The following is a 20,276-nucleotide window of genomic DNA, read 5'->3' as shown; positions in this document are numbered from 1 at the left end:
AAATCAAGATGAAAATTTTTTAAATCTTTGAACGGAACAATGATAATGACACAACCTATCAAAACCTTTGGGATACAGCAAAAACGGTACTAAGAGGAAAGCTCATAGCATTAAATGCCTATATTTAAAAGAAAAAGTCTGAAAGAGCATTAATAGACAATCTAATGTCACACCTTAAGGAACTAGAGAAACAAGAACAAACCAAATCCAACCCCAGCAGAAGAAAAGAAATAACCAAGATCAGAGCAGAACTGGTAAAAGGGATGGCAGAAGCATTTGAACATCTGCCTTCACCCTTCACTGTGGACGGTTACCACCCAAAATGTTCACTCTTCCACACTTCTGAAACTTGGACAAGTGTGCAGTGGAGTCAACTCCTGACCCAAGATGACACCCAGGAGAAGCCTGGGGGCAGCAAGTGAGAAGTGAGAAGAGGCAGAAAGCAGATATTGAGTGAATCAAGTGAGTCATGGACTGCCACAAATGGTCAGCCTTAGCTGAGGGTGAAACTGAGGTGAGCCTGAGGTTGTATGTCAGCTTTGAGTGACCTTTCCAGGTCTTTCCCCCAGTTTACAAGACAGCAAAGCAGGGCTTACAGATCTGAACCAGTTTATGGAAGGATGTGGATTTTTAAAACACATATATTCAAGTCAGGGCACATAAAACATCAACCACTTAAATAAGATGACATGTTACTTAAGGTGTATTATGCTCATTGTCATTTGAAATATAATGACATAATCCCAAAGTGAAGCTGGGTAAAATTTGAGAAGAACAAATTTGTGTCTTTTTGCTGTGGCCTGGTGTCAGTTTTGTGTGAGTGTTCTTGCCTTTAGAATTTGGGATTTGTGGTCCAGGATTTCATGAAGCCCAGGACCCACATATCTGTGCCCAATTGACCTTGAAGCTATTGAAGAAAGAGCTTAGAGTTTGATGGAGCTTTTTTGTGGACCCTGCCTGGGAGGTGCCCCTCTAGTCCATCTGACACTTAGCTGCTTTATTGCTCTTGGAACTGTGGGTGTACTACTTTGAACTTTAATGGAAAGCTTGTCTCCAAATAAGGGGTATCTGACTTAGATGTGTTTTTCCAATAAGCTAGGCCCTGGCTGCCTTTATGGCTTTAATCCCAGGAACTTTATGTCCCCACTCTACCCCAGACAACAAACATGACCTTGTTTCTAAGAGACATGGCTCTAGAGCTGGAGGGACTTGTGTAGTCATCTGCTAGATCCTCTCACTTCCTGCCTGTGACACAGTATGATCCTGATTTTTGGATGGGGCATCTTAATGCTGAAGGGAAAAATTATGTCACCCTAAGTGACCAAGAGAGTTAAGGTTACTCTTAGGAGCAGAACCCAAATCTCTTTCCTCTCTATACTTCCAAATATACTGGAATTGTGGCACCTTTACATGAACATTAACAGTAGGCCCTGCAGAGTTGGTTCAACAGTACAATAAATTTGTTTGCCTTAGACGTGTTTTCCCAATAAGCTGGAAAAATAATAAGCTCTGGTATGTATGGCTCAATATGGCGGGTCACATGTTTGTAAGAAGATTCAGCTAAGCTCACTAAGTACAGGGGAATCTTGACCTTAAAAGGCTGTCAAAAAGAAGAGGTTCCACGCCTTTAAATGGATGCTTGCAAGTTCTTGGGATTGGGGTTGGGGGTAGAGTGATGGAGATTATCTTAGTCTTTTTGGGCAGCTATAACAAAATACCTTAGGCTGGATAATATATAAACAAGAGAAACAAGAGAGGCTAGCGAATCAGGGCTGCTGAAGTTAGGGACTAGAGTCAGAGAGCTGGAACATCCTGGCCTGGTCCCACCAAGTTCTCTGAGAACCTTGGTTGAGTCCAGCGTAGCCAGAAGACATTCTTGAAAAATGGCCCGTCCATGCCCAAACTGTCACCCATGATGCCCAAAACTCACTCCCAGCTAAATGTTACCCCAAGAAGAATAAGACTAAGTAGTTTTAAATTATATATATTTTTTTCTTTTTGAAATTTTTTTTCAAAATTCCATAGTTATATACAGTAACATCAATTTCAACAACAGCAGTACAAAGCACACATTTGACTTACAGGAGCACTGATTGCCAAAGAATACCAAAGTGTTTCACCTTGATGATCCATGGGAGGACCCCACAACACTACAGACAGGTAGGAGGGAGAACAATGACATTTTGCCGTGAACTTAGTTGAGCTCACAGGAAAACAAAAACAAAAAACACATCACCAGGATTTTGCATTTTACATTCACTAGGATGTATGACAGATAGAGTTAAAACATCAACAACTTAAATATAATTAAATACTTTTTAAGAAATATTATGCTTTAAATTATTTAAAAATAATCTCTTTGTGGATGTTATAATAAAATAATGTCACACTGCACCTGGGGGAGGTTGGGGAAAATAAATAAGCTTTTCTTCAAGCTCTGACTCTCAGTCCATGTATGAAGGCTCATGGCTTCAGATTTTGAAATATTTGGTCCAGATGCTTCATGGAATCCCTGACCCATCTCTCCTTGGGGTCAGCACAGACCTCCTTGCCCCGTTTGGTCTTGAAGCTGTGGGGGAGAGAGGGCACAATTAGATGGAAGACTTTGAAGATCCTGCACAGGACTGTGGGCCATTGGTCCCTAGAACTGATCAGCCCTTGGTCCTTAGGTGAAGGACCCGGACCCGGGAGAGGAGGGAGGGGAAGAGTGGGAGGAAGAAGCTCCAGAAGGAAGCTCTGCTCTTGCTGTCCAGGTGAAACCCTCCAGGGTCCTGGCTACAGATATTGGGTTAGTTTCACCAAGCCCCTAGAAGGGAATCCTAGAGCAGTTATGGACTCCTTCTCATGGACTGAGTTTCTCTATGGGGTAGAGGGGCCCTTTGGATAGAAGTTATATGCATCCGACTCATATGGACATGAATCTTGACTTCTCTATGTTGTCCATCAGAACTTTTGAATGGGGGTGCCAGGCACTGTCCACTCACATCACAGCTTCCTTGGGACATTGGATGTTGGTGATTCTTGTGTAGCTCTCCAGCCTCTGGATAGGAATTTTCCTATTGATCACGTTAAAGCAGCAGGTGATTGGAATGGAAACTGAATCTGAAAGAAATTTTGCAAAGAATGAGACATTTAGGACCCACCGTAAGTGTGCATTTGTAAGGAAAAGAAGAGAAGGAAGGAGAAGACCAAGAAGTCACCATCCCAAGTTCAGTGTCTTAGTCCAGATCCCAGAGATAAAATGTTGCCTGTGAGTCTCTTTCCTCTATTGAACTCTGCGGCCCGTCATTGTTGACTGGGTTTGGAAACATTTTGAGTAACAAGCTAGTCCTTGTCTACTAACCCAAAACTTCTGACACTGGGAACATAAGTTCCAATACCTTGCTTCCCAGTCTTTCATCCTCATGGGCTTTAGAGTTAGCCTATGCCATACGCTGAGATTCCTCTGGGTCCTCATCCTCTTTACACAGCCACTGTTCTGGAAGGTACACTGAACCATAACCAAAATTTGAAGCTTCAGGCAATAGTTTCTCCCTCTCCACTACGGCCTGAAATGTCCTTTACACCCACAGTGAGAAACAGTTCTTCGTTCTGGATTATTTCCCCAAACAATGGGAGGGTTGTTGCTGTAGCGGCTCCACTGTCTCCTCCCAAAACTGGGGTCAGGAAAGATCAAGGGAACCAGCCTCAGTGACCTGAGCCTTTAGTTCTGGTTTTGTTCCTAATGAGCTGTGACATAATGGCTCTTCTTAATTCCTCTTTTGGTCTCCCCTTAAAAAGGGAGAGGTCTTACCTGGCTGAGCAAGTCCCTGAGGGCTGAAAGTGGCTGCCATGAGCAGCAGGCACAGAAGCGCTGCAGAAACCTTCATCTTGGAGGGCAAGGGTGTGAGCTTCAGCATGAGAGGTGAAGGTTTCTGGGTTGTTCTCAACCTCTCTGCTCCTCGGTGGCTCTGCCTGCCTTTTATAGGGAGCAGAGAGCCTGGGCATGGTCACAATCAAGGAAGAATGAAGTAAGACCTTCCTTGAATATGCTGAGTAAGCACCAGATCCTGGGATAATTTCCAGATAACAAAACAAGGAAGTTGTGAGTTTCTATCTTTTGCTTAGGCTCTGTGGAGCAGAGGCTGAAGGGTATGGGATTGTGCTCAGCAAAGTGACCTCACTGAACTATTAAGGGCTCTGATTTCCTTGAAATGGAAAATTGTCTATAAGAAAGGAAGAATGGAAGCTGACGTCATAGTGGAAGAGAGCCAAGGGCCTACCCCTCTGTGGGTAACAGGAGGCCAGGGATGGGCCCTAAGGCTTTGCTGGTGCTCTCCATCACACTAGAGTCACTTGCAGTTCTAAGCCAGGCAAGCTCCTTTAGAACCCCAGCCACAGAACGTTGGCAGAATGACAGAATCCTGGAACTAAGTCTTAATGCCCCAGAATCTTACTGTTGCAGAGGGTAAGAACTAGACAGCACATGCTGGTCTTGTAGCATGGTGGTTTCCAAACATTTTATTTAGATGCTCAAGTTTCTTTCCAAATGAAATTATATGGAGAAGTCCAATATGTCATGGAGATTCAGGTGGAATGGGTCCGTCTGCAGAAGGCCTTCCAACTCTCTTGGTTCACACACAGTGGGGCTGTGGGCGGGGCGTGGCAAGAAGGAACCAGGTTTGCAAAAGACTGACCTCATCTACTCCCCCTGCAGGCCTGATCTATCCATCATTACAATATCATATAGAAGTTTTCCTGCTCTAAGAATTCACTGTATTCTTCTATTCATCCTTTTTCCTCTCCACAAATCTCTGGCTACCACTGATCTTTTTACTATCTCTGTGAGCTTGTCTTTTCCCAAGTATCATATGCATAGTTGGAATCATATAGTAGGCAGCCTTTTCAGACTGGCTTCTTTCACTAAGCAATATGCATTTAAGGTTTCTCCGTGCCTTGTTGTGGTTTGATAGCTAATTACTTCCTTTGTTCTTTATTCATTTATTATTTTTATTGTGGTAAAAATGCACATACCATCTTAACCATTTTTAAGTGCATAGTTTAGTGGCATTAAGAACATTCACACTGTTGTGCAACAGTCTCAATAACTCTTTTCATCTGTAAACAGAAATTCTATACCTATTGATCTCCAGTTTCCCCTCCCCCAAGCCCCTGGCAACCACCATTTCTACTTACTGTTTCTGATTTTGACTGCTCTAACTACCTCATGTGAGTGAAATCATATAGTATTTTTCTTTTGTGACTGGCTTATGTCATTTAGCGTAAGGATCTCAGGGTTCATCTATGTGGCAGCATATGATATGCTACATATCCTTAAGGCTGAGTAATATTCCCTTGTATGTATATAGTACATTTTATGTATCCATTCATCTGTTGAGGGCTCTCTATTCTGTTCCATTGATCCATTTGTCTATTCTTTCACCAATACCACACCGTCTTGATTACTGTTTCCTAATAGTAAATCTTGAAGTTGGGTAATGTTAGTCCTCTGACTATTCTTTTTCAGTACTGTGTTAGCTATTCTAGATCTTTAACCTTTCCATATAAACATTAAAATCAGTCTATCACATCCAAAAAGAACCTGCTGGGATTTGGACTGGGATTGTGTTGAAGGTACAGATCAAGTTGGGAAGAACTGACATGCTGACAACATTAACTCCACCTATCCATACATGTGGAATATCTCTTCATTTATTTAGATCGTCTTTAATCTTTCATCAGAAGTTTGTAGTTTCCCTCATATATATTGTACATCTTAGACTAATTTCTAAACACTTCATTTTATTGGTGTTAATGTAAATAGTATTGTGTATTAATTTCAAATTCTAGTTGCTCATTGCTGATATACAGGAAGTTATTGAATTTTATCTATTAGCCTTGTATCCTGTAGCTAAAATTGCTTATTAGTGGCATGACTTTTTTTTGTTGCTGATTCTCTGTAATTTTCTACACAGACAATCATGTCTTCTGCAAATAAATTCAGTTTTATTTATTCTTTCTAATCTGTATATATTTTTATTTTCTTGTCTTGTGCTGTTGTGTTGGCTAGGCCTTCCAGTATTATGTTGAATTGGAGTGGTGAGAAGAAACATCCTTGCCTTATACTCAATCTTAGGAGAAAAATATCTAGTTTCTCACCATTAAGTATGATATTTGCTGTAGGTCTTTTTTAATGCACTCTATAAAGCTGAGGAAGTATCCCTCTATTCCTAGTTTGCTGAGAGTTTTTTTTTTTAAATCATGAATGGCTGTTGAATTGTGTCAAAAAAAATTTTCCATCTATTGATATTATAATAAGATTTTCCTTCTTTAGAAAGTTGATATGATGGGTTATATCAACCAATTTTTGAACGCTGGATCAGCCTTGCATACCTGGAATAAATTCCACTTGGTTGTAGCTTATAATTCTTTTTATATGTTGTCGGATTTTATTTGCTGATATTTTGTTGAGAATTTTGTTCATGAGTTTGGTTTATAGATTTCTGTTGGTTTATAGTTTTCTTTTGTTGTAATGTCTTTATCTGGTTTTGATGTTAGGGTCATTCTGGACTCAGAATGAATTAGGAAGGGAGGAGAGGGGGCAATTACAAAATTTGTTCCTCAGGAATTCTCATTGTTTTATAGAAATAACATCGGTTAGTAATTGGCAATGTATTGTTGAACTATAGGGTGTATATCTAAAATTTCACCACCAAATCCAAGATTGAATACTGCCTTTTCAATTAGTGTGTTTAGATTTCTCACAAGACAGTAAATATTCCCCAATAATCTTGAACTTTAAAAGCTCTATAGGAGTTCATATATATCAGTGCACCATAATTAACTTAAGAATTTACTTCTCCATAGTTGGGAATCATACCATTTCCATTTTTATGGTTTTACACAATACTTGTGGAAAAGCTGATATAACATTATTATTAATGTCTTCGTTTAATTTTCTAGCCAAAGAATTAATAAATCAAAATATGTGGATATTATTAAGACTTTTAATCAAATGAACACATTGCTGGAAAATTTGCCCCTTCACTTAAATGTGAGTGTATTATTCTTAAAAACATTTTATAGTTGCTAAGAAGAAGATATTTTTCTTGTTAAAAGACAAAAGAAACGTACAGTGATAGAGGTTAGAACAGTGGTTCCTTTGCAGGTATGGACATCATGAGGGAAACTTTTGGAAGCTTCCCTCTCTGATTTTGATCAGAGAGGTAGTTAAATGGTTAACTACACATGTAAAATTCATGAAACTCTACATTTAAAATGCCTGCACTTTACTGGACAGTATATTGAATTATACTTCGAAATAAAGTAAATCGAAGCAAAAGGCTCACCATTATTTTGCTTACATTTTACTTTATTTGCTTTTGAATATGTATGTTAGTTGCTTTATTTTTTTCTTGTGGTTAATATGCTCCTGTTCTTAAATCAGGTGGGTTTTTACTGTTTTGATTCAGAAGAGATTTTTAAACATTTACCTCATGCATTTTTCATTTATTACAATTACTATGTGAACTTTTAACAGTAAAGAATTTGCAGTATATGGAACATGTGTGTCATTTGGATTTCCTTTAATCAGAAAGGAAATTGAGTTGTTTCAGGATGGCAGCTTTTTAATCATTTTAGGGGATGGTTCTCTGCCAGGTGTACTGTGTAGCATCAATCTGAGTGTGTGCATGGGGTGGGGGTATTGGTTTAGGGGTGGAGTTTGTGTGTATTTTCCAAGCAGCAATAAAGCCATTGTCTTATGTAATACCCTGAGGACTTTGTTAATTTTCCTCTGAGCTGACTTCAAACGAAAAGTGCATCCATGCACAGACAACAGAAATAGTCATGAAAATTATAATTATTGGGAATCAAAAAAGGCTAGTAAAAATGAAGGGAATTAAGTGTCAAGGAACTTGAGTCTAGTCTTGATTTCACCAATAACCTGCCCAAAGTGGCCTTGGGCAAGTCTTATTGACTTTGAGATTCACTATCCTCATCTATGAAGTATGGGGTTTTGACAGGTTTTGGGATGACAAGTAGTTTTTGATCATGTGCCAACTTTATGAATTGGTGATAGATGACTAGAAAGTTTTGTTGTAAAACTAAAACAATGAGGCATTACCGTGAATATAATGCTGTGATTGATTAGTGATGTCTGCTATTAGTACAGTAATAAGGAGTGGTACCATCTATGTAACCTATTCCAGAATTAAATAGTACTTAAGCTCTTCTCTAACTTGATTCACCTGTGATTGTCTGCAAATAATCAAATCAAAGAGCAGAGAGGCTCAGATGCTAGGAAATGTCAGAGAAGTGTTCCTGGCTGTCAGTCCTAAAATAGACAGGCAGAATAGCATGATGGTTAAAAGTCTTCATTTGGATACTGGGAACACTGGTTAATATATTTGTCAGAGAAGGCTTAGGTTATTTAACTTCTTTATATTCCAATTTCCTACCTATTCTTTAATTTTCTTGTGCGGAAATTGATATTTATTTTTATGCATTTTATGAATATTATCTGATACCCAAAACTTGCTTTGAAGAGTGAGTAGCATATGGTAGGTGATCAATAAACTAACTGTAATCAATAGTTAAGTAAGGTGGGTGTAGTGTCCAGAAGATAAGTGGATATAGATGTGTTATAGGGATGGACCTTGGGGAATATTTGTGCTGTGGATGAAGGAAAAAAAAGTGTCTCCCAGGAACGGGAGCAAAGTGAGATCCTGGGATCCTGCCATGAACCAAAATACTAGATGGCTCTGGGAACTCAGAGGGAATGGAAGTCAGATCCCAGTGCTAACAGATGCCAAGGGGCATCAGAATTCTAATTCTGCAGGGAGTTTAGGAATCTCAGTTGGCAAGCCGCTTTCATTACGCAATTTCCCTCTCTTGTTTTTAAACTGAATTTGAGAAATCCTTATGTAAAAAGTTAAAACGAAACTTAGGGCATGCAAATTCAGCAGCTGTTCTGTCCAGTGGCCTGGCTGTGTTGTTCAGAGAAGTGGTCCTTCTGCCTTTCCTGTTTCTTTTCTCTTCGGTGGCTTCCTCATGAGCAGTTTCCTAAGGTGGACTTCACAACTATGTGAAATAGGACATATAGAACAAATATGTCTGTGGCTCAGTGGCTAATGGAGCAGAGCCTGAGATCAGAAACAACGGTCTGTGAATGAAGGGCAGGAAATATATACCTTGCTATGGAACCAGACCTTCTAGATTCTTACCTGGTTCTCAAGGAGTGAAATTAGGTGGGAGAGCATCCTGGGAAGCAGAATTTCTGCTTTCATTTTTCAGCTCTGCTCCAACTGTCCTTAATGATCACAATATTATAGAATGAGTTGAAAGAGGCAGTTGCATTTAATTTATTCAAGTATTTCCCTTTACAAATGAAACAACAACAGAAGTGAAATGATTTATTGTAGGTTGTGCGGCTACTTCATGACAAGCTAGCACTGGCAAGTGGGAATGTCAGAACAGAAGCCATCATGGAATTCCAATTAGAGGGCAAGAACCATGCAGAAAACCTACAGTGAGGTGTCTAGAAACCTCAGAGACTCTCCAGTGCACTGGTCTTTTCAGACCTGCCTCCTGGAATATCCAGATGCCTGGGGCAATTATTAATAATGCAGAAGAGATGCCTTAACCTACACCAAAATACAGAGTCAGAATCTTCAGAGATGAAACCCCGAATTCTCTATTTCTGAAGTGGTCTAGGTGACCAGGTAATTTTTAACCAAAGCCATTTTGGGAGTCATTAATCTAGTTCAAATGCCTCATTTACAGATGTATAAACTGAGGCACAGAGTGGGAAAATGATTTCCCCAAAGTCACTTTGACAATTTAGTAAAGAATCAAAACCAGAATTCAGCGACGGGGTCACCATGCCCTGTTACACAGTGGACTATCTCGTTTGGTCCCTGGTACCTGGTAGAGTCTTCATTGTAATGGAGGCTCCAGAATCTTTATTTTTTTGTCTCTGTAAGTTCATGTTGCAAGGATAAGCAATCCTGGGCCCAGCTGGAAAACAGATGAATAATTTCAAGGAGGGTTACTTAACATGTCTCAACAAAGGAGCATGAACAGATTCCATTCAGACTTGGGAACACGGAATTTACTATTTCAAGCTTTTGTATCACCAGTCCCCACTCAATGCCTAATATTTGCTTGGCACAGGGGAACTTCTGAACCCCAATAAACTGTACAGGGATGTCTATTCTTGTCCTTTGTAACTCCCTGGAATCAATTGGAATTTTAGGATAAACTCTTGAATGAGGTTTGGGTATGTGGCTAGGTGTAAGGAGGAGAGGTGGGCAGAACTGTTTTATTATGAGAACTAAGAAATTGTCTTGATGACAGTGAACTGTCCAGTTGCCCCTGGGGCTTTCGGGGTGCTATCGGGATGTGCGTAGAAGTCTCCTGGCCTGCCCTGCTGGTTATTTGGGCAAATATTGCATAATGCTGGGTCACTGGCTTGCTTGGTAGTGTAGATTCTGGTTACTGTCTTCCCCCGCTCTGTCTTTGCTGGTGGCCATGGTGATGTGGTCCAAGACACACATTTAAGGACTAGGGGTGAAAATGGAATTTGTCTGTTGAATCCCCTCATTTCCTAAATATACAGATTATCATCTCAACTTTATTGATGGAGCAGCTGAGGATGAGATTAGGGAATTGATATGCTAGAGGTGAAACAGAGCACCCAGGGGTCTGGTTGTCCAGGCCAAGCTCTTCTCAGGGCTCCTGGTTTTGACTGTAATGCCTGGAACAGTGTGGTACGGTTTGACACAGCATAATGTGGGCTGCCTCTTATCCAGATTTCAAGAGTTTTCTCACCAGTCTACTTTCTCCTTATTTGGGCTGCTGGAGTCTTTATCACTGGACCACTCCTGGTCACTGGCAGGTGAAAGAGACATGGAGACTCTTGTCCTAGCTCTTAAATGTATCTGCCTGGAAGGACATATGCCACTTCTGCTTACATTTTATTGCCCAAAGTGGATCACACAGGTTGTCGGTTTTCAAGATGGCCTGGAAGTACAACCCTGCCCTGTGCACGGAAGAGGAAGAACTGGAAATATCAGACGTCTCTAATCACTACCAGATGTTCCATGTTATCCATGTCAGCTTAGTAACCTTTGAGCCTTATGACGTTCTTGGCTAAGCAATTTCTCATACTTCACATTTAAATAGTCCAACTCATTTATCAAAAATGTCTTTTACTTTAACTTGAGGCAGGGTGATGGGTCTAAAATATTTCATAATATTTAGTGCACTCCACAGCATTCTAAATAAAACATATTAATTTTGTCGACATAAAAACCAAACCCACAATTGACTTTTATCTAAATGTCAGAGAATAGTGTTAATGATTCCACAAGTTATTCACATCAACTCAATAAATTGGGAAATTATTATAAAGCCCTCAATGACAAGGTGTTAATTGGTACTCAGGGTGGTATTTTTACTTCATTATTTATTAAGATCACAATTAAGCTCATCAAGGCTAACAGCCTCTAGGTTAATATCTGTTAGGCACTGTGAAGGAGTCATTGCACAAATAAATGTTCCACATCACATACAAAATAGTCGGTTTTGTTTGTATCACTGTTTTTTAAAAACTGAAACCAAGTAGTCTACTTGATTTATTAATATGATTAATATGTATTTTACTCCATAATAGCATTCTGAGCCAAATAGTGTTTCATTTTCTTTGTGTGAAAATCAGCAGTTCATTTCTATTCGATGTTGTTAAAGATAAGAAAGTACAATATGAAGTCAACTGCAGAGTCTTTAGGTCAGTATAATAAACATTAGTGTGTTTTAGACTACATGAACTAGTTAAAAAAAAAACGTAAAACATCTCTCTCAAGGCACCTGCCAACATTGGCATGTAGCGATGGACGGCTGCAGTGTGGTGCCTGCTCCCACATGTGCCTCCAACATTTGCCTGCAGAGTCCATGCCAGAGTCACTCCCACAAGAGGGATCTTCAAGAAGAAATTGCAACTTGAAGCTTCCAAGTAGCCCAATTTTAGCTGTGTGGTTTTAATTAATTAATTAATTTTAGAGACGGAGTCTCGCTATGTTGCCCTGACTGGTCTCGAACTCCTGGGCTCAAGTGATCCTCCTGCCTCAGCCTCCCAAAGTGCTGGGATTACAGGCACTCACTACTGTGCCCAACTCCAGCTTTGTGGTTTTAAATTTCATTGCTTTTCCCATTCAAATTTCTGAGATTGGTCTAATCATACATAACTAAAGGAGATAAAGTCTTTTTTAACTGACATGTGGCTGCTGCGAACTGCAGAAATACTGTTTCTTCAAGAATCTACCTTCAAAAGTCAAGAGGTTTCTATTTCATTGGTGGAGGATACTACACTTCCATCACTTATCTGAAGCATTTCCAGGATGTGTGCTGTTGCTAAGAACAGCTTCTGAAATGTGTCTGGCATTGCCCCCAACACAGAATGAGGTACCTGAAGAACTTGTAATAAATTTTAAATGGTTGCATTTTTCTTTTAGAAAACATAAAATATATTGTTCCCTAAAGGAAAGGACAAAAATGTATCTGCATTTAGGGTAATCAGTTCATTCTGCTTCAGCCTGGACTTTCTCGGTAGCAATGAAAGTCCAGTGTCCCAGGAAACCTCTCAGTTCTGGGCAAATCAGGACAGTTGGTCACTCTATCTGTGCTTTAAACACTAAGATTGGATCTGGCTGCTCTATTTATGTATTTTCTCCCTTTCTTCTCTCTCCATCTCACTCTGTGTGTATATCTGTGTGTATATACATATGTGTGCATATATATGTACATAGGTATGTATATATAAATATACAAACATATACATATACACATGTATATAAATACACACATATATGGACATAATGTACTTATGATCATATTTACAGCTTTTTTCACTTAATGAGTCATGCACTCTCTCAAGTCATTAAATATTCTTCAATTGGTTGAATTTAGTGGCTTCATACTGCTTCATTATAAAAATGTCATACATAATTAAAGCATTTCTTTATGATTAGGCATATATAATTTATATTTTCATTTAAAAATAATTTTAATTAACATTATTTTGAAAACCCAAGTTTAAAAATTCTCCCCCATGTCTTTACTGCTGTTGAAATGTGAAGCTTTAGTAGATATTGCCATATCGCTTTCCATAAAGTTTTTACTCAGGACAACATTTATTAGTTGTAGTAGGCGAATAAAGGACCCCTTTGGCTAGGCACGGTGGCTCACATCTGTAATCCCAGCACTTTGGGAGGTCGAGGCGGGTGGATCACTTGAGGTCAGGAGTTCGAGACCAGCCTGGCAACATGGTGAAACCCTGCCTCTACTAAAAATACAAAAACTAGCCGGCCATGGTGGCACATGCCTATAATCCCAGCTACTTGGGAGGCTGAGGCAGGGGAATTGCTTGAACCCAGGAGATGGAGGTTGCTGAGGGCGCACCACTGCACTCCTGCCTGGACGACAGAGTGAGACTCTGTCTCAATAAATAAGTAACCCCTAAAAGTTCACTCCCTGATCCCTGGAACCTGTGACTCTGTTACCAGGGATGAGGGGGTGAGTTTTTTATCATATCTCCTTTAGATAATGGCTAACTGGGAAGGAGTTAGAGAAAAGGAGTGAGCGAAAAGGCAGAATGGCCATCTCTCTGGGGAATGAGTTCAGGTTGCTGGACCAAACAGCTACAGGATTTGGGCAGTCCTAAGTTTCATTTTCACTTTTCACACTAAGGATCTTTGTGGATGGGATCCAGGGTACAGACCTTGAGATGGAGAGATTATCCAGGTATGCTCAATCTAATACCTTGAGTCCTTGAAAGTGGAGACTCTTTTCTGAGTCTCAACAGAGAGAGGAGATGGAAGAAGAAGAAATGCATAGTATGAAAGGGACTTGACCCACTGTTGCTGACTTTGAAAATGGAGAAGGGGGCTCTGGGCCACAGAATACAGAGGCGTCTAGAAGCTGGGAAAATCTCTTGTCTGACAGCCATCAGGAAAATGAACATTTAGGCTCAATAAACCAATAACCCAAAGGAACTGAATTCTGCCAATGCCCAGAGCAATCGAAAAAATGGATCCTTCCCTAGAACTTCTAGACAGAAACACATTCCTGATAATACCTTGGTTTTAGCCTGCTGAGGCCTATGTTCAGCTTCTGAACTCCAGAATTATAACATAATACATTTATATTGTTTAAACCACTAATTTTGTGGTAATTTATTAATGCAGAAATAGAAAAGTAATACATTATTAACTGAAAGTATATGCTACTTTGTTAATAAAAAGTATTATTTTGTATATAGGCAAAACTAACCTATAGTGGTAGCATTGAGACTAGATGTTGTGGGGTATTGACTGGCAGGGAATGTGAGGGAGACTTTGGGGTTTAGAAATGTTCTGCAAATATTGATTTGGATGGTGATTCCTGGGGCATATGTATGTAAAAGTGATTTAACTTCTTTGAACTTTATTGTAGGAAACCAATGCCTCAATTTAAAAGTTAGCAGAAAGAAACTATTCCAGTATGAGCTTGTTTAAATTTGTGTCTACTGGTTGGTATTTTTGTGTACATGTTCAATGGTTTATGTTTTTATCTGGTGAATTATCTGGTAGTCTTCTTAGCTCAGGAGTTCAATTATTTTTTTAAATTTATTTATAAGAGACCTTAAATCTTCTACCTCTTGTTTATCTAATTTCTTTTTTAAAAAACTCTGGATCATCTTTTAACAATACTGAAGTTCCAGAACTTGAAACATATCCCTAACCTCAGGATTTCCTCTCACAAGAGGGAACTTACACTCTTACACAAAAGCATCTGGGACTGTCCCTGCCAATTGCCTCATATAACACTGATACAGAGTCAAGTTTTCTTTATAAATTGAGTTTATATAAATCCCCAGTCCACATGCATGGCAAGTGTCACACAAAAATAAACTCAGAAAATTTTCATTCTCCAGTGATGTGGCTTGACACAAAGGTGCATTCAGAGCTAAGAAATGAAAATAGTGGTAAAAGTCAATTATGAGAAAGCAAAGTGGGTTAGTAGAATGCAGGGCGTGTACGCCAAGTGCCTAATCCCAGCTTGCCTGCTTAGTAGCCATGGAACCTATTTAGATATTTTTAGGTCCACCTGCTTCGTGTATCAAATGTGGGGATATACAAGATCAAGGATGTCAAATAGGTTTTCAATGCAAGTGTCAACTCGAGAGGTTTATTGGAAAAGATAATGAGGCCTTATGTCGGCCATGAGAAATAGTGATGTGATTCTTTACTGATATTCTCCATCAGTACAGGATCAGGGAGGAGCCCAGCTCTGGGACATGTTGGCCATTCGTGGGCTAGGAGATTATCTGTGTTCCTCTCAATTTTATTTTCCTATGATTGATTATCATCTTGAAATGAGTCCAATCTGAGACTTGGACACTTAGGGCATTAGGAATCAGCAGAGAAGTGTTCTTTGCTGTTTAGCTGTAGGACAGGCAGGATAGTGGTTAAAACAATGGACTCTGTAGCCAGATTGCCAGGATTTGGATGCTTAGATGTTTTGAAAGCTTATTTCAGGTCTCTGTGCCACTGTTTTCCTATCAGCAAAATAGGTGTGAATTAAACTAGTTGACACAGGAAAAGGGCATTGAAAAGTGAGGTGTTAGCATATGGTAAGTATTTAATAAACTCATTGTTATAGATATTGATAGTGAGAATATAGTGATCAGAGGATGCTAAACAGAGACCCAGGATGTGGACTATTGAAGAAGGACTCCCTTAATTGTCTTCATGCATTCAGATGAAGACATGTGATAGAGATGGACCTTCAGGAATGCCTGTGCTGTAAATAAGGAAATAAAAAGAGTCTCCCGGAAACAGGGAAGCAAGAGACCCCAGGATCTTCACATCAGCCAGAGGTGCAGGATGCTCTGGACCCCAGAAAGAATAGGAGAAAGATCCCAGGTATGACACATACCCAGAGACACCATGCTCATGTTCTGCAGATGGTTCAGAGCCTGCAGTTGGAAAGTCCCTGTGTTTTGCAATTTCCCTTCCTTTGGTTTTGGTTTTAATGTGGATTTCAAAAACCTTAGCGTGAAAAACTAAAATGAAACTTAAGACTGCCCAATTCCTGCAGTTGTTTGTTCCAGCAGCCAGAATGCATTCCCTGGGGAGGTGGCCATTCTGCCCTTTCTCTCTCTCCTCCTTTTCTCTAACTCCTTCCTAGTTAGCCATTATCTAAAGCGGATGCAAAAACGTGCTCATAATTTAGGAGGTGGTGAATGGTGAGACCATGGTCTAGACCATAAGCTAGTAGAAGACAGGGATCAATTAGCATTGGAAAAGAAACAAATCTCCTGCAATGGAAGCTGTTCTCTGTCTTAAGTGATTCCCAAGGAACATAGCAGGGTCAGGTAGAAGAATGTTCTGCAAATCGCAAGTTCTGGAGAATGGCTACATTCTTCATCTTCATCTCAGATTTATTCAGAGATCACAAAAGTCATAGAAGTAATGGAAAGAGACACTAAGAGGGAGAGATGAAGTCACAGCAGGTCGCACAGCTGGTTTATGGCAATCCAGGACTGGAGAAGAAGTGAGAGGCCACACAGGACTTGGGCAGGTCATTCCAAAGACTGCCATGCAAGTTCAAAGCCGTGGGGTCCGAACTCAAATGTGAGAGAACAAAGGAACCTCAGAGAGCATTGGTGTTCCAGTGCTATACTGAGCTATACCTCTGTATCCCCAGGAAAACTGGTTGAAATCCTGATGGGGGCACTGTTCCACAACCCAATGTCCTGACTCAGAATCTTGGGATAAGGCCAGGAAATCTGCATTTTCAGGGGTAGTCCTGGTGATTCTGATTCATACTCAGTTTGGAAACCATCAGTCTAGTGCAAAAGGTAAGCTGGGTTTCATGGAAGAAAAAATGATTTGCACAGATTTACCTGACACACAGCCTAAAGAAAGAGCTGAGGATGCAATGCTCAAAGATGTGCAATGCATTCCTGTCTGGTTGCTGGTCCCTACTGGAAACTGCTCTATTAGAGGCCCCAACATCTCCAATTCTTTGAGTTTACAGGTTCATGCTATGGGAATTGGAGGAAAAACAGCCTGAGAACTTCTTCAACATAGAGACATACAGCATTTACCATTTTCCACCGCCTCCTGCCCAAGCCTTGCTGAGTGCCAGAGGGTCTTCTGAGTATCAATGCATATGGTGATATTTTAGTTTTTTTTTTTATTCCAACTCACTGTGTGCTTCTACACTTGGTTAGAGTTTTAGAGTTCACTCCTGATTGGTATTTGGAGATGAGATCTTGGTGGCAGGGGAAGTATACAGAACTACTTGATCTGGCATGAGGACGAATGAAGTTGTCTGGTTGCTAATTGCTCCCAGGACTTTTGTTGAATTTGGGGGTGGGGATGGGGGGCCTTAATGAAAAATCTGTGTCTAAGCAGGCAATGCCTGAGAAAGGAGTGGGTTCACAGTAATCCAGGTCCTGGCTGGTACATGAAGACAGATTTGAAATACTTTCCTTTCCAACTCTTCTCTAGCCAGTGCATGTGGTGATGTTTGCCAAGACATAGTTCCTGGGGCTAGGAAAACATGTGAGATCATCTGCCAGATTCCTTCACTTGCTGCCTGTAACACAGCATTATCCCCATTTAATGGAGAGGAAAACTGAGGCCCAGAAGGAGAATTTGATATTCCACAATGCTCAGGGAGTCAGTGCCACTCCTGCAATCAGCATCAATGTCTCCTGCTTCACAGGGTGAGATTTTCTAGTGCTCCATGCTTCTGAGTGCTCTGCTTTCTACAGAATCTATCATTCTCTCCCCAAGACTGGCAGGTATTGGCCCTGCTATTGGTCTTTACTGTTGGTGAGGAGGTAAAATTATAGCTAATTTTCATACAAATGGATCCCCGTTTGGAAAAAGGAGCTGGCCAAACTCATAGACTGCAGTTGAATCTTAGGGGTCATCCAGGAAGAGGAGGCCCTGTCTTTTTGAATCCATGTTTTAAAAGCTCTGCGGTTGGGGCTTACAGGGCTAGTGAGAGAGGGACGTGAACTTGGGGCTCAGGGTAGGCATGTCTCTCAATACTGCCTTGTGATATTTTGGTAGTGAGTTCTAGGAGCTGGGTCCCTAGGCCTCCCACTGTGTCCTCTTGACGAAATATCTTCAGTAAGCTCCAGCTGACCCCATTCTTCCTATGAGCTGCTGCCTCTCCTCCACCTCTACCATCCCTTCTTGCCTGGATTATTGCGGATACCTGCTCTCAGGTCCTCCTTTCCACATTCCATCCTCAGGCAGCCAGAAGCTCTGTCTTCATCATGCATACTTCTGATTAGTTTGCGTCTCTTCCCCACTAATTCACACACCTTCATTGTCTTCCTATGACATTCAGAACTGAACCCGACTGTCCATGTTGACATTCAAGACCCTCCAAAATGTAGCTCCAAGCTTGCATTCTAAGTTTTTAAAATGTTTTTCCTATTTCTGGACCAAATTCCAGCCAGACAAGAGTTCTGCTTCTTGCCTACTCTTCTGTCCACCCTAAATTAGTTCAGTCGAACCTCTCCTTTGATCTCACCCCATCATTTAAGAGAGGTCCTGCTTATGCCTCTTCTTCACTGAGAAGTGTAACCTGACCACTGAATCTATTGCCACCTGCTCTTCCTCTGATGTTTCAATTCACCATTGGTGTTCCTCTGGAGTTCATGATAGGTTGAATGGGACTGACTGCAGCCAGGGAGAACATTTCAGAGGCTATTGCTATAGATTGGGTGGGAAAGCTCCCCTGGTAGGAAAGAAGGTGTGGTGGGCAGGAGAGGAAGGAAATGGCTGTGGGCTGACGCTGAACAAGTGACCACAGTCCTTGGTCCCAGGAGGTTGGAATTAGGGACTAGAATCACAGTGCCAGGGCAGTCTTGTCTGTCTTCAACCTGCATGGAGACCAGCCAAGTCAAAAGCCATTCGATGGGATCATGACCTCCACTTCCTAAAGCCATGCCCTCACCCCCAGCTTCATTCTTCCAGCTTCATCTTTTTCAGAAAGAAAATATAACTACCCAATTTTATTTTGTTATTTATACTTTATTAGAGAAGGTTGCTGGCAACCAGACCTAAGCCTGTCATAAACAGGCCTTAAAGAAACTGGCCATAAACAGGATTTCTGCAAAAATGTGACATGCTCATGATGGCTATGATGCACACTGCTAGAAGTTGTTGGTTTACTGGAGCAGGGCAAGGAATGCCTGGCCCATCTGGAGCGGGAAACTGCTCAAACCACAAGCAATAGCATGAGCGGCCTGCGCCTTAACATGTTTTTGCTGCGGATAATCAGCCAGAGCCTATTTCTCTACTCCTTGCTAAGAATTCTTTGTTTCCCCTAAGGAATGCTTTTAGCTAATCTATAACCTATACAAACAATGTGTATCACTGGCTTACTGTCAATAAATATGTAGATCAAACTCTGTTCGTGGCTCTCAGCTCTGAAGACTGTTAGCCCCCTGATCCCACTTTGCACTCTATTTCTGTGTCTTTATCTTCAATTCCTCTAGCACCGCTGGGTTGGGGCCTCCATGACTGAACTGGTCTTGGTAGAAGGTCTCACTTTTTTCCCCAGGCTGGAATGCAGTGGCATGTTCACAGCACACTGCAGCCTCAATCTCCTGGCTCAAGCAATCCTCCCACCTCAGCTTCCTGAGTAGCTGGGAATACAGGTGTGTGTCACCATACCTGGCTACTTTTTGTGTTTTTTATAGAGAGAGGGCTGTGCCATGTTGCCCAGGCTGGTCTCAAACTCCTGGGCTCAAGTAATCCACCCGCCTTGGGCTCCTAAAATGGTGGATTACAGGTGTGAGCCACTATGCCGGACCAACTGCCTAATTTTATAAACAAAATGTTCTCTTGAAAATCTCAGAGCTATACAATAGAGTAGACCTGTTCCCCAAACTGGTGTCCTGGGAAGAGCCCAGAGACTGGCTTCGGTGGCCTAGAATTCCAGTTCCAGCTTGTACCAATCTGGTTTCTCTTGAAACATATTCCCATTTTTTAGGGAAAAAAAATTTCCCCTAAATTCTGAAGACCCTTATTGCAGTGACATTCTGAGGGCCCTTATTGATCAGATTGTCCTGAAGGTTAACTTTCCTGAAAGGAGAGAGAGGCCTTACCTGGTTCAGCAAACACCTGGGAACTCATGGTGGCAGTCAGCACAGAAGAGCTGGGGAGACCTTCATGTTAGAGGGCAAGAGTTGGAGGTTTCTGGGATTTTCTAGGCCTCTCTGCTCCTTT

General features: G+C 41.0%; 1 protein-coding gene across 1 annotated transcript; it reads right to left on the bottom strand.

Moving 5' to 3' along the window:
• Nucleotides 1-1,968: 1,968 nt before the first annotated feature.
• CCL8 (C-C motif chemokine ligand 8) lies at nucleotides 1,969-3,936 on the bottom strand. Its single transcript, NM_005623.3, has 3 exons — nucleotides 3,794-3,936; nucleotides 2,985-3,102; nucleotides 1,969-2,569 (listed from the first exon to the last, which is right to left on the bottom strand). The coding sequence occupies exons 1-3, from the start codon at nucleotides 3,867-3,869 to the stop codon at nucleotides 2,464-2,466; spliced, it is 300 nt and encodes a 99-aa protein (NP_005614.2). The 5' UTR covers nucleotides 3,870-3,936; the 3' UTR covers nucleotides 1,969-2,463.
• Nucleotides 3,937-20,276: the final 16,340 nt, after the last annotated feature.

This window comes from Homo sapiens, chromosome 17, assembly GCF_000001405.40.
Source record: "Homo sapiens chromosome 17, GRCh38.p14 Primary Assembly".
NCBI classification, from domain to species: domain Eukaryota; kingdom Metazoa; phylum Chordata; class Mammalia; order Primates; family Hominidae; genus Homo; species Homo sapiens.
The sequence above is the reverse complement of the archived record's forward strand: the minus strand, read 5'-3'. Positions and strand labels throughout refer to the sequence as shown.

Excerpts from the sequence above, each read along its gene's own strand:
- CCL8 (NM_005623.3), bottom strand. The coding sequence starts at position 3,869 with ATGAAGGTTTCTGCAGCGCTTCTGTGCCTGCTGCTCATGGCAGCCACT. Across the intron at positions 3,103-3,793 it reads TCAGGGACTTGCTCAGCCAG|ATTCAGTTTCCATTCCAATC; the intron begins GTAAGACCTCTC and ends AATTTCTTTCAG. Across the intron at positions 2,570-2,984 it reads TGTCCCAAGGAAGCTGTGAT|CTTCAAGACCAAACGGGGCA; the intron begins GTGAGTGGACAG and ends TCTCCCCCACAG.